The 15,000-nt window shown below is 40.0% G+C and overlaps 1 protein-coding gene across 14 annotated transcripts in view; it reads left to right on the top strand.

Moving 5' to 3' along the window:
• GPATCH8 (G-patch domain containing 8) overlaps positions 1–15,000 on the top strand; it is a 108,126-nt gene that overhangs the window by 59,656 nt on the left and 33,470 nt on the right. For 11 of the 14 annotated variants that reach the window (NM_001304939.2, NM_001304942.2, NM_001002909.4 and 8 more), the window contains 2 exons: positions 7,206–7,273; positions 8,600–8,686. In NM_001304939.2, the coding sequence (NP_001291868.1) occupies positions 7,206–7,273; positions 8,600–8,686 (155 nt within the window). Of the gene's footprint in view, positions 1–5,035; positions 7,274–8,599; positions 8,687–15,000 lie in introns of those variants that run through there. The other 3 variants (XM_047435673.1, XM_047435674.1, NM_001304943.2) reach the window with 3 other exon arrangements.

Genomic DNA, 15,000 nt, shown 5'->3' with positions numbered 1-15,000 from the left:
GCTGCAGTGAGCCGTGGTTATGCCACTGCACTCCAGCCTGGGCGATGGTGAGACCCTGTTTTAAAAAATAAATAAAGGAAGAAAAAAATCAAATTAATTTGGTTGTTGTATAGGTCACTAAAAAGGCCATGGCAAGAATATAGTAGGTTTTTGTAGTACTGGATAATTTGAACTCTATTTTGGGTAGAAAGTTTTTCCTTTTTTTTTAAACCTTAAAAACTCTCTAGGGATTAAGTAATGTGCTCAATGTTTTCAGTTAATGTTTTCTGAGAGGTAGCATATATCATATGTTAGAGTTGCTTAGAAAAATATCTAAACGATGCTGAAAGTAATAATTGTTTCTATGCCACCTAAAGACTCATTTTCAGGAGAAATTTGCAAAAATTAAGCTTTGGTTTGGAAATAAATGTACCATTTTTTATTCAGTGTTTCTGAAAGTTTCATGTGATCACAGTTTCAATAAATGAAATGATATTTAAGTCCATTAACATGACTTGAATCCTATTTTGAATACTTTTGCAAATCAGAGAATCACCTGCGTAATTTTTTTTATCTTGATTTTCACATATGTATTTGCATTACTTAAAAAGAAGAAATAAGTACTTTAAAGATGTCAGTGTAGGTTCTTGGCCTTTATCAGTTTAATGGTCTTTTTTCCCCTCTTTTCTCTTTTTCGACAAGGTTTTTCTCTGTCACCCAGGCTGGAGTGCAGTGGTGCGATGATAGCTCACTCCAGCTCCTGGGCTCAAGTGGTCCTTCTGCCTCAATATTTTCAGTGGCTAGGACTGCAGGTGCATGCCACCATGCCCAGCTAATTTTTTTAAGAAAAATTTTTTGGAGAGACAGAGTCTTGCTCTATTGCCCAGTATGGTCTCAAACTCCTGTCCTCAAGGCATCTTCCTGCCTTGGCCTCCCCAAGTGCTGGGATTACAGGCGTGAGCCACCAAGCCCAGCCCAGTTTTAATTGTCTTTTGAAAGTGGATTTTAGGCCGGGCTCATTGGCTTACACCTGTAATCCCAGCACTTTGGAGGCTGAGGTGAGCAGATCACTCAAGCCCAGGAGTTTGAGACCAGCCTGAGCAATATGGTGAAACCCCATCTCTACTAAAAATACAAAAATTAGCCAGATGTAGTGGCAGGCACTTGTAGTGTCAGCTACTCAGGAGGCCTAGAGGCAAGAATTGCTTGAGCCTGGAAGCTGGAATTTACAGTGAGCGGAGATGGCACCACAGCACTCCAGCCTGGGTGACTTAGCAAGATCCTGTCTCAAAAAAAACATGGATTTTGTGACTTTTTGATGGCTTTTATATTTACTTGCACTTCATTAAGGTCGTCTTTAAAGACAACTTTAGATATCTTTAAAAGACAACTTCAGACATTTTTAAGCTTTTTTAACTGCTTATGCATTAGCTTCACAAATGTTCTGTTTTCTCTCATTCTCAGCTGAAGTTCCAGCTGGTCAGATTACTCTATTTTGCCTATTTATTGGTAATTCATGGAACGTGGTGCTGCGGTTGTGGTGTTTTTTTTTTTTTTTACATCATCACTATATGCAGTGCCCAGAACAGTGCCTTGAATATAGTAGAAACTCTCTTTCTCTCTCTCCTTCTCTCTCTCTCTCTCTCTCTATATATATATATATGTATATATATACGTATACATATACACACATATATATGTGTATATATATATTATTTTATTTTATTTTATTTTTGTCTCTTTGAGACAGAGTTTCACTCTTGTTGCCCAGTCTGGAGTGCGATGGTACGATGTCAGCTCACTGCAACCTCCGCCTCCCGGGTTTAAGCGATTCTCCTGCCTCAGCCTCCCAAGTAGCTAGGATTACAGGCATGCACCACCATGCCCAGCTAATTTTGTATTTTTAGTAGATACAGGGTTTCACCATGTTGGTCAGGCTGGTCTTGAACTCCTGACCTCAGGTGATCCACCCGCCTCGGCCTCCCAAATTGCTGGGATTACAGGCCTGAGCCACCGTGCCCGGGCTTTTGATTTTTTTGGGGGGCGGGGGGAAGGAGTGTCGTTGTGTTGCCCAGGCTGGAGTGCAGTGGTGCAATCTTAGCTAACTGCAACCTCTGCCTCCCGGGTTAAAGTGATTCTCCTGCCCCAGCCTCCTGAGTAGCTGGGATTACAGGTGCCCGCCACCACGCCCAGCTAATTTTTGTGTTTTTAGTAGAGATGGGGTTTCACCATGTTGGCCAGGCTGGTCTCGAACTCCTGACCTCAAGTGATCTGCCCGCCTCAGCCTCCCACAGTGCTGGGATTACAGGCATGAGCCACCATGCCTAGCCAAAACTCAATATTTGTTGTAAATGTTTGTATTGAATCTCTGTAAGGGGAAAGCAGCAGAGATGCATTGTGGTGTTCTTACATCTTACATTGTGGTATTCTTACATCTGTTGACAATTCAACCAGTGTTTTAATCACTGTAGAAGCTTCTTCCTTTCTAATTTGTTTCTGCAGGGAAATCATATGTCTTCTGTTTCTAAAGTATGGCTGATTACTAGATTATGGTTGTCCTTTAATATATTCTTCCCAGTTGTTCTATTCCTAGAGTTTGTCTCTTTAAAAATAGTGTTTCCCTGGGCTGGGTGCAGTGGCTCACGCCTGTAATCCCAGCACTTTGGGAGGCCAAGGTGGCAGATCATGAGGTCAAGAGATCGAGACCATCCTGGCCAATATGGTGAAACCCTGTCTCTACTAAAAATACAAAATAATTAGCTGGGTGTAGTGGTGCACCTGTAGTCCCGGCTACTCAGGAGGCTGAGGCAGGACAATTGCTTAAACTTGGGAGGCGGAGGTTGCAGTGAGCCGAGATTGCGTCACTGCACTCCAGCCTGGGTGACGGAGTGAGACGCCATCTCAAAAAAAAATGGTGTTTCCCAAAAAACAACAAAAGAGTTCTTTCTCTGTAGTTTAAGTCTTTAGGACAGTTTTGTAGATTGATGTAACCTTAACCATTTTAAAATCAGAACTGATTCCTGAGGGATTGTTCTCAATGACAGAGTGGCTGTGATAATCAGTGGGTTTTTGTGTTTGACTGTATTCTTTCTTTAGTTATGTTATAATGCCTTCACATTTTAGCAAGACTTGCATATATAAGAGAGCACTTAGGAATTTCTATTATTGCATAAGTAAAACTGCCTTTTAAAATAGGCAATAGGCTGATGTGCAGCTCACACTTGTAATCCCAGAGCTTTGGGAGGCTGAAGCAAGAGGATCACTTGAGCCTGAAAGGTGGAGGCTGCAGTGAGCTGATCGTGCTACTGTACTCCAGCCTCAGCGACCCTGTCTCTAAAAAATAAATGTGTAATTCCAGTTAGTGAAACATTATTTAAGGTTTTGATTTAGAAAATATGAGTATCAGTTGTTTTCCATCAGATTAATACATTGATATTGGCATATTCTTGATTTTGCATGTGTTTCCTTTCCCTTCTCCAGTTGGCCAAGTAAGTGTCTGTAGATCTTTTCCTGAGGAAGACAGTTTCTTTTAAGGAGATTATTTAGTGTTCTGGTTGAAGTTGCTTCCTTTGGAGTGAAACAAGCAACAAAAATGTTCTCACTAATTTAATATATTTTAAATAATATTTGCTGTATTTTAAAAGAAACCAAGAAGTAGGGAACCTGGATTTTATTTTTAAAAGAAGTTGAGGCCGGGCGAGGTGGTTCACGCCTGTAATTCCAGCATTTGGGAGGCCGAGGTGGGCAGATCACCTGAGGTCGGGAGTTTGAGACCAGCCTGACCAACATGAAGAAACCCCGTCTTTACGAGAAATACAGAATTAGCCGGGCACGGTGGTGCATGCCTGTAGCCCCAGCTACTTGGGAGGCTGAGGCAGGAGAATCGCTTGAACCCAGGAGGTGGAGGCTGTGGTGAGCTGAGATTGCGCCATTGCACTCCAGCCTGGGCAACAAGAGCGAAACTCCATCTCAAAAAAAAAAAAAAAAAGTTGAGTTTTCTAGAGAATACATATTAGCAGACACTCTTGCTACCTACCTTTTGAGGTCATCACTACAAATTGGTATTCAGATATTGTAAGTGATGTTCTTTAGGATTATCATTGATAGCAACTGAATAAACTGAGGGGGTTTTTTGTTTTGTTTTGTTTTGTTTTTTAATGCTGCAGCCTCTTCCTGTATGTAGTGTTTGGTGTCTTTTCCCACTGGGATCTTTCCTTGGTCTATAGCCTCTTTAATAATGTTAAGAAATTACTACTTGGCCCAGGCAATAATGTCACCTTCAAGATTGCTTTGAAAGTCATACTGTTTATTTTCTGTGAGTTAACTCTGAGTGGAGTAATTTTAAATGTGACAGCTCTTGTGATGTCGGTTTCTCTAGAGCTGTCCTTCAAAGATTGGTTTTGTTGTGTGCTGAAAGAAGGATATTGGCCAGCCTGGGAAGTCTCGGTTAACAGGAAGCAAAGTTCTGAGGAGAGCCACTTAAAGAGTTGTATTCATTCATAACAGAATTCAAATGCACAAAGTTCTCCAAGCACTGAAGATCTAAGATTATTTTCTAGACTGCTTAATTGTTTTATATATATATTTCTAGAGAAGTCTTGCGGACATCTCACCCATACTCCAAGCCTCCTAGAGTTCTTTTGGTGAAGTAAATGACTTGATTACTGTCCAGTTAGTTGATCTGATAGAGTCTTAGATGTCATTTCTTTTAAAAGTCCTACCTTGGGCCCTGAATACTGATTTACGAGAATGAATAGTTAAATGAAAGATTGGAAACTAGAGCTAGTTCTCTTACTTTAAACTGACACCCTACCCCCTGCCTTATTGAAGAGGGTGTTGTTCATGTTCTCAAGTAGCAGTACAAAAATCTCACACCTTGGTCTGACCAGTATGAAAACAGCTGCTGTAGCACAAAATGTCCTTCCTCTGTCCCCGGCTGAGATTGGGGGAGGGACAAAGCCCAACTGTTAACTTTACCCCATCCTGTCTGCCTGCTAGAAGGCCTGTTTCCTACCCTAATGGTTTCTGCCTAACAAATGGTATTTCTTTTTTACAGCATTATGATCCTGGACTTGTTGTGGTGATGGTAATCTTAGCAGTGGTAATTTTTTATTTTCAGACTGAATTACTCCTTTTGTCATCAGTGCACCAATATGTTAGGCTTACTTTCTCTGTTGTAGCCTTCATCCTTCTGCTTGGTCTTTTTCATTTTCCTTTCCTTTCCTTATGCAACTTGTCTGATCCTTGTTCATTAAAGGGTAATGTTAAGAAGGGATGTATCTGTTTGTGTTAGAACTGCCAATAAAATCAGTTAAAACATTAAATTCTAATACTGTCAAAAACTTGATTTCCCCACAATGTAATGGGCACTAGCACTTGCTACTGCAATTTATAAATAAATTAAAACAAACTTTGACTGCCTTAGAAGGCAAAAGTACTAATGCAGAGTTTATAAACAGGGGTTTACAGAGGTAATGAATTTGTACCAAAACTTTCTTGATTCTTGCAAAACGAATTCTGACAGATCAAAAAAGATACCAAAATAAATTGCTTTGACATTTCTTTTTAATTCATTCATTGGACTATTTGTTTTTACCAGTAAATCCCTGACTGAGACGTTATGAAAGTGATATTGCACCTAGGAAGTCATTTTTATAACCTGTCTTTAATTTGGTCCTTTTGCTAAAGATTGCAGTCACTGCTTATTTATTATACCATTGGGCATAGGGTAGTAATGCATTTTCATTTTGCTTTACTGGCAGTCCTTTGATTGTATCTAAAAGAAGGCTGTATTCTAGAAGTTGTTGTTTTGTTTTTTTTTTTTTTCTGACATGAGATGTTCTTTAACAGTTTGGGTTTGGTTTTTTTGTTTTGTTTTTTTACTGTGATAATTCTAATTCTCCCTATTTATTGTTTAAAAACAATAATAGGATACATAAGTAGTTAAACTTATGAATTTGTTTTTCATTCCATCTTAAAGGCAAAAATTAATTCCACAAATATAGAGCCACCGAGTACAAGTGGTTGTGGTCGTTTTGAACATGGTTTCTTCTTTATTTTGCAGGACCAAAACCAGTCATGATCATGGCATTTATTTTTTAAAAAGTTTTTTTTGGGGTTGGGAGGGTAATGCCTCAGATTTAGCCTAAGAAAACTCCATTTTTAGCCCAAAGGTATAATATATGTATATATATATGTGTGTGTGTATAACAACAACAACAACACAACCAAAAAAACCAATTGTTTACACCAGCCTGAGTGAAATGATGAGGGAAGTAAACATTGTGTTTTTTCACTAAAGGTGTACAACGGATAAGGTAAGTCCTCTTTTCAGTGGGCTTACATCACAATAAAAAGCGCAGGTTGTGATGTAAAACAGCTGTGGTAGTAAAGTGCTTGTCTGCCCCATTTTGCTTTGTTTGGCTGGTTATGAGTGGATTAAATATATATTTATTAAAAAAATTATCCAGCATAGATCAATTAGTTTAAAGTCAATTTTCTTCGCAACTAGTCCTTTTCACAGCTTACCAGTTACCCTCGCAGCCAGTGTTAAATCCACTCTAGGAAATGGGACTTTAGAGCACCAGATTAAAAGGAAAACTATTCTTTTCTCTAAGGGCAACTAATTGTTTCTTTTTATTTAAACTTTTCACAGCCCCATTAAATTGTAAAGCATCTCCTAGTCTATGAGGAACATCAAAAAAAATTGTAAAGCATCTTTTGAAAACAAATTCAACATACTGAGTTGTAATTATAAAGTTTTACTGCATCATGTTTAAAAATGTACTTTTTCTATTTAACCATGCCAGTTGAGATTTTTTTTTTTAAACTAGGTTAAAAAGTTGTGTAGGAGGATATCAGTGGGCAGAGTAAAGTGATACTTGATGGGAAGTTATTTGGGGATCTTAAAAGGAATTTTTAAAGTTTTACAATTTAAACCTCCTGATGCCATTGCTTAAAAGTGCTTTGCATTACTTATTAATGTAATTTTGCCATAGTAATTTGAAATTAATCCCAACTGGACGTCAGCCAAGGTGGTTAATTGGGTTTAAACTAGGAAAGGAAGGTCTTGAGTGTAAGCTGTGAGAATGGCTTGTGTTTGGTTCACTGTAGCTTTCTGGTCTCTGCACTCCAAGGCAAGATCTCTAACCACCCAAAACCCAATGTGTAAAATGAGCTGTTGGTTTGGCTTTGCACCTTACCTTGATTATGTGTTCCTGTTACAGGGAGAACAGATCCCATTCCAATCGTTGTCAAGTATGATGTCATGGGCATGGGTCGCATGGAAATGGAGGTAAATTGATCTCATTAACTCATAAGTTTTGTGAGATATTTTGAAATAATACTAATTCCAAATTCAGATGTCTGTGCAAGAATACATTTATCAGATGAAATGTAGTTTTAATATTTTTCTTTGGATGACTAAAAAATATATTTTACATTTTCATTTAGTGCTACTTTTGAGACAAATAGAATATAAACAGAGCTGCTGTTTTAACTGGCACATAAAGAAGTTAAGTGATTTGCCGAGGGTTATACAGCAAGGCAATATCAGACTTAGATCCAGACCTTGGTACTTGCTTCAGTAGGCAGTGTTGCTCAGCTCTTAAAATGTTGCTGTGATAAAAGCTTTGCCTTTGTAGAATTGGGTACGGCTGTCACCTGTAATACCTGCTTTTCATTGCCTAAAATATTTTCTTCATTGACTCCTAATTCCTTTTTTTTTTTTTTTTTTTTTTTTTGAGATGGAGTTTCGCTCTTGTTGCCCAGGCTAGAGTGCAATGGCGCAGTCTCGGCTCACTGCAACCTCCGTCTCCCGGGTTCAAGGGATTCTCCTGTCTCCTGTCTCAGCCTTCTAAGTAGCTGGGATTACAGGCGCATGACACCATGCCCGGGTAATTTTTGTGTTTTTAGTAGAAACAGGGTTTCATCATATTGGTCAGGCTGGTCTTGAACTCTTGACCTCAGGTGACCCGCCCGCCTCGGCCTCCCACAGTGCTGGGATTACAGGTGTGAGCCACTGTGCCCAGCCTCAATTTTCAAAGAATTAGGAGTCGCTGGGCGCAGTGGCTCACGCCTGTAATCCCAGCACTGTGGGAGGCCGAGACAAGCAGATCACCTGAGGTGAGGAGTTCAAGATCAGCCTGGCCAACATGATGAAACTCCATCTCTACTGAAAATACAAAAAAAATTAGCAGGGCATTGTGGCGGGCACCTGTAATCCCAGCTACTCAGGAGGCTGAGGCAGGAGAATCACTTGAACTCGGGAGGCAGAGGTTGCAGTGAGCGGAGATCATGCCATTAAACCCCAGCCTGAGCAACAAGAGTGAAACTCCATCTCAAAAAAAAAAAAAAAAAAAGGAAAGAAAGAAAAGAAAATTAACATTGAAGTGAAGTCTACTTTCAACAAATGTGCCTTTTGGAAACTACCAGCCTGAAAGTAACAAACTATTTTGCATGTGATTTTCTCTGTGAGGTGACAATAAAGCAAGCAGTAGCTAAGCAAAATTACAATTTTTTTTTGTTTTCAGATAATACTGTAGTTGTGCAAATAACTTTTTCATAGCTAATCTTGGGGGTACTTTAGGAATTAAATCTAATCATATCTATTTTTGTCAAGCTTGATTATGCTGAAGATGCTACCGAACGGCGCCGTGTCCTAGAAGTAGAAAAAGAAGACACAGAAGAGCTGAGACAAAAGTACAAGGTATTTAAACAAAGCTATTCATTGGGAGATGGGGAGGTGCTCACTGAATAAGAAAGAACTCAAATTTTGTTGAAAATCATCACTGTTGCTAACAGCATTTGTTTGACATTTGGTGGTAATTAGTAGTAGATCTCAGATTTCTATTACATTCCTATTTATTGGCTCTGTATAAACTATAGAGATAATAATACCTACTTCTAAAGTGTGTTAGAAAGATTACATGAATTAGTGTTTGAAAACACAATGCCTGTTACATAGTAGGTATTCAAGTAGTGGTAGCAGTAAAAATTGTTAAAAGTCCTTTGAGGCCAGACACAATGGCTCACACTTGTAACCCCAACACTTGCAGAGGCCAGACACAGTGGCTCACACTTGTAACCCCAACACTCAGTAGAGACGGGGTTTCACCATGTTGGTCAGGCTGGTCTCGAACTCCTGACCTTGTGATCCACCCGCCTCGGCCTCCCAAAGTGCTGGGATTACAGGCGTGAGCCACCACGCCAAGCCTAATTTTTGTGTTTTTAGTAGAGATGGGGTTTCACCATGTTGGCCAGGCTGGTCTTGAACTCCTTGCCTCAGGTGATCTGCCTGCCACGGCTTCCCAGTTTGCTGGGATTTCAGGCGTAAGTCACCGCGCTTGACCCCCTTTCTTGTTTTTGAACTTAGCTTAGCTATATATTAAATTTTTGTGTGTTTTATTTTATCCAGAACTATAATATAACCAACTCATCTTCTTTTCCTGCCCCTTTTTCTTTCCCCTTTTTCTTCTCCTTTCCTCTCTCTTTATTCACTCTTCAGCCTATTTATACTGACTTTAGCAGTTTTCACCAAACCACTTTATTCAAGGCCACCAAACACTTCTATTTGCTAAATCCAATAAATCATTTATTTATTTATTTATTTTATTATTATTATTAATATTATTATTTTTTTTAAAGACTGAGTCTCACTCTGTTGCCCAGGCTGGAGTACAGTGGTGTGATCTAAGCTCACTGCTCCCGGGTTCAAGTGATTCTCGTGCCTTAGCCTCCGAGTAGCTGGGACTACAGGTATGAGCCACCACGGCCAGCTAATTTTTTTGAATTTTTGGTAGAGATGGGGTTTCACCATGTTGGCCAGGCTGGTCTCGAACTCCTTACCTCACGTGATCTGCCCACCTCGGCCTCCCAAAGTGTGGGGATTACAGGCGTGAGCCACTGCGCCTGGCATACTCTTTCTTCTTTAAAACATTTTCATTACTCTTGGTTTTGAAGAATTTATACTTTCCTAGATTAGTTGCTTCTTATCTGTCTTGCTGCTTCTATGTAGATTCCTTTGTTGGCTGCTGTTTATTCTGCCTGAACTTCAGATATTGGAGTTCCTCAGCTTCAGACCTGGGCCCTCTTTTTCTGGCTACATTCTTTCTCTAGGCACAAGAGTGGTCATGACACCATGTTTCATCATCTTTCACTTGGTTAAATTTTCTCCTTTGGGTTTTAGCTTAAATATTACCTCATTATAGATCTTCCCTAATCAACTCATTTAAATAATTAACCACTCTGCCTTATTCTCTTGCAACAACCTCTCTTACAATTTGTAATTATAAATTTTTATTCACTAATTTATATTCTGCTTTCTGTACTAGTCAGAAAGGGCATTGAGGAGAGAGAGTATGTCTATTTGTCTGCCAGTATATATCCTGCATCCAGCACAGTGTGTGGTGCATAAGTACTCAATAAATATTAGTTGAATGAATAAATATTTTGAAATAGTGAGAAAAGCCAGATTCATTTTATGTACTGTCTGAAATATAAACATTATAAAGAATACATTTTTATTTTTCAAGTAAAAGTTACACTGTCGAGTGAAAAATAAATGAAATACCTCAGTAATTCACAGCCTCATAAGATTATACATAGTATCTTGAGATGCTCTCTCCCTGGTAATAGAATTATTTCTCGGCTGGGTGCGGTGGATCACGGCTGTGCTTTGGGAGGATTGCTTGAGCCCAGGAGTTTGAGAGCAGTCTGGGCAATGTAGCAAGAATCTGTCTCTACAAAAAGAAAAAAGAAAAAAAATAGCTAGGTGTTGGTGGTGCATGCCTATAAATCCCAGCTACTTAGAGAAGCTGAATTGGGAGGATCACTTGGGCCCAGGAGTTGAAGACAGCAGTGACCTATGATCACACCACTGCACTCCAGCCTGGGCAAGAGCAAGAATTACTTTCCCCATCTTATTGATCAAAATATTTACTCCGAAACCCTGTCAACTCTGAACTACACTGTTTCTAAAATCTTAAATGTCCTATTATCTGACCATGGTCTTTTTTCCTTCCTGCTGTCACTCCTTTATTCTCCTATATTTTTTCTTCAACTTCACATGACTTTGGAAGCTTTAGTAACTTAGCTCCTCCTTAATTTGTACTTTTCCCCTCTAGCACCACACACTCATGTTTACCTCTCACAGCACTTTGATTCCAACTCCCTTTCCTCCTAGTCCTTTTGTCATACATACTCACCAAAAGCCTGTCCCGTTAGTACAAAATGCATTACTTGCATTCTTTATTTCTATACCCTTTCTGCCAACCTCACTGGGCCCTCAGAGCTGCCAATTAATCCTCTCATGTGTCATGTCCCTCTTAGTCCTCTCAGCTGTCATTCTCAAACATTGGTACTCAGCCTTCATCTTTCCTTAACTACCCTTGTCGTATCTCTGCCTTCCCGTATGTTTTTAGTTAAGAAAGAGAATTTGGACCATCAGGTAGTAATGCCTTCATCTACGTATACTATCCTACATCAAACGAGGGTTCACCTGCTCTCATACTTCAATATTTCTCTTTTGTTTCACCATCTGTTAAATGATAATTTGTACATACATCTGAATTCTGGATCCTAACTCTCCCTGTCTTATCAAAGACCTTCCACTTCTTTCCTGTATTGGCAACCTTTCTCTTTATTTGTTCTTTTCCTATCAACAGTAAACATACTTGAAGATTTGTTGGGAGAGGGAATCCTAAAATTAAAAAAAAAAAAAAAAAACCCACTCTGATTTACTCTCCATATAGCTACCACCTTCTCTTTTCACTTGTCTTTAGAACCAGAATTCTTAGTCACTACTCTGACTGCTTCCTTTTCATCACTCTCTCATCTCTAATTTTATAGAGATGGGATCTCACTCTGTCGTCCATGCTGGAGTTCTGTGGTGCTATCGTAGCTCACTACAGCCTTAAACTCCTGGGCTCATACAATCCTCCCACCTCAGCCTCCCAAGTAACCAAGACTATAGGCGTGCACCACCATGCCTGGCTAATTTTTTTTTTAAGAGATAGGGTCTCACTATGTTGCCCAGGCTGGTCTCAAACTCCTGACTTCAAATGATCCCCCTACCTCAGCCTCCCATTTTTATTTTTTAATTTTCATTTTTATCAAAGTTTTACTTGTATATAGTCTTAGAGCCAAATAGCTCTACCAGACTTTTAAAAGAAAAAACAAAAACTGCAGTCTCATTTGACATTCTTGTTATTTTATTAAATATTTTTAATATGTGAGATATAAAGAAAAACTATAAACACTTAGGTATTTTCTACTCAATTTAAGAAAAAGAGCACTATCAGTAACTTCATGATCCCATCACATTTCTGTCTCCTTTAGAGATAAACACTATGCTGATTTTTGTGTTTTTCGCCTTTTTTTTTTTTTTTTTTTTTTCCTTTTTGAGACAGTCTTGTTCTGTCACCCAGGCTGGAGTGCAATGGCAGAATCTCAGCTCACTGCAACCTTTGCCTCCTGGTTTCAAGCAATTCTCCTGCCCCAGCCTCCTGAGTAGCTGGGATTACAGGTGTGCACCATCACACCCAGCGAATTATTTTGGTATTTTTAGTGGAGACAGGGTTCTGTCATGTTGGCCAGGCTGGTCTAGAACTCCTGACCTCAAGTGATCCGCCTGCCTCAGCCTCCCAAAATGCTGGGATTACAGGCGTGAGCCACTGTGCCTGGCCCCCTCACAATTTTGTAGGTAAAATTGTTGTTGAGATAAAATTCACATAACATAAATTTACCATTTTAGTCATTTTATAGCAATACTACAATTTAATGATTTTTAGCTTATTTACAGTGTTGTAAAATTATCACCACTGTGGCCAGTGCGGTGGCTCACACCTGTAATCCCAGCACTTTGGGAGGCCAAGGTGGGCGGGTCACTTGAGGTCAGGAGTTCCAGACCAGCCTGGCCAAAATGGTGAAACCCCTTCCCTACTAAAAATACAAAAAAAAAAAAAAAAGCTGGGCGTGGTGTTGTGTGCCTGTAATCCGAGCTACTCAGGAGGCTGAGGCAGGAGAATCGCTTGAACCCAGGAGGCGGAGGTTGCAGTGAGCCAAGATCGCACCACTGCACTCCAGCCTGGGCGACAGACAGAGTGAGACTCTATCTCAAAAAAAAAAATGCAACAGTGAACATTCCTGTCGTCTTTCTGATCTTTATAGAGAAGCTTTCAGTCTTTCACCATTATGATGTTAGCTGGGGGTTTTTTGTTCTCATCAGGTTGAGGAAGTGCCTAATTTCTAGAAATTCCTGCTTTGTTTAGTGTTTTTACCATGAAAGAGAGTATTGGGTTTTGTCAAATGCTTATTTTGCATCTACTGAGATAACCTTGTGGGTTTTTTCCTTTTATATTCTGTTAATAATGGTGTATTACATTGTAGTGGTGTATTACATTGATTGATTTTTGTATGTTGAACCAACATTGAGTTCCTGGGATAAATCCCACTTCGCCTTTTAATATGCTGTTGAATTTGGTTTGATAGCATTTTGTTGAGCATTTTTGCATCTGTACACAGAAAAGATATTAGTCTGTAGTTTTCTTGTAATGTCTTTGTATCAGGGTAATACTCAGAATAAATTAGGAAGTGTTCCTTCCTCTTCTATTTTCCCTTGCATTTTAAAATGGTTTTTTAATGTGTTTTGTATCCTAAATATGTATTGCTTAGTTTTATGTAGTGGGTGGGTGGGTGGGTCGGTGAGTTGGTTGGTTGGTTGGTTGGTTTTGAGACAGTCTTGCTTTGTTGAGACAGTCTTGCTCTGTCGCCCAGGCTGGAGTGCAGTGGCACGATGGCTCACAGCAACCTGTGCCTCCCGGGTTCAAGCAATTCTCATGCCTTAGCCACCCAAGTAGCTGGGATTACAGGCGTGCGCCACCACGTCCAGCTAATTTTGTTTTTTTTTTTTAGACGGAGTCTTACTCTGTCACTCAAGTTGGGGTGCAGTGGCACGATCTCAGCTCACTGCAGCCTTCACCTCCTGAGTTCAAGCAATTCTTGTGCCTCAGCCTCCCGAGCAACTGGGATTACAGACACGTGCCACCATGCTCAGCTGGTTTTTGTTTGTTTGTTTGTTTGTTGTTTTGTGTGTGTGTGTGTGTGTGTGTGTGTGTGTGTGTGTTTAGTAGAGACGGGGTTTCACCATGTTGGCCAGGCTGGTCTCGAACTCCTGACCTCAGGTGATCCACCTGCCTTGGCCTCCCAAAGTGCTGGGATTACAGGCGTGAGCCACCACGTGGCCTAGTTTTACATGTTTTTTAACTTTATATAAGTGGAATCAGTTTTCTTGTATATATATATACACACAAGATTTTCTCCAGAGTGTGACATTTATTTATTTTCTTGTTTCCATTGCTGTAAGGGGTTAAACCTGTGTTCAAGGAATACACATAGGCTTAACTTCTTAAAGCAATATACTTTAGCCTCTGTATAATGTTGTCATTATCCTTTTTTACCTTAAAATTCTGCAGCTTCAGATTCATGGAAGGGTCTTTTAAACATTTTTGTTAATTCTTAGCTGTATTATACTGTGTTGATATATGTTGTGCATATTACTTCTTCATTTCTGACTTTATTACAGTTTCTTCTATAGCCTATAATGGGCTTTTTGTCTGTGTAAATATTCTTTTTTTTTGAGATGGAGTCTCTGTCGCCCAGGCTGGAGTGCAGTGGCGCCATCTCGGCTCACTGCAAGCTCCGCCTCCCGGGTTCATGCCATTCTCCTGCCTCAGCCTCCCGAGTAGCTGGGACTACAGGTGCCTGCCACCACGCCCGGCTAATTTTTTGTATTTTTAGTAGAGACAGGGTTTCACCATGTTAGCCAGGATGGTCTCGATCTCCTGACCTCGTGAACCGCCCACCTCGGCCTCCCACAGTGCTGGGATTACAGGCATGAGCCAGCGTGCCTGGCCTTGTCTGTGTAAATATTCTATGAGTACTGTTTATTTGAGATAGGGTCTCACTCTGTCACCCAGACAGGATCTCACTCTGTCACCTAGAAGTGCGGTGGCAGTGATCACA

This window comes from Homo sapiens, chromosome 17 (assembly GCF_000001405.40).
Source record: "Homo sapiens chromosome 17, GRCh38.p14 Primary Assembly".
NCBI classification, from domain to species: domain Eukaryota; kingdom Metazoa; phylum Chordata; class Mammalia; order Primates; family Hominidae; genus Homo; species Homo sapiens.
The sequence above is the reverse complement of the archived record's forward strand: the minus strand, read 5'-3'. Positions and strand labels throughout refer to the sequence as shown.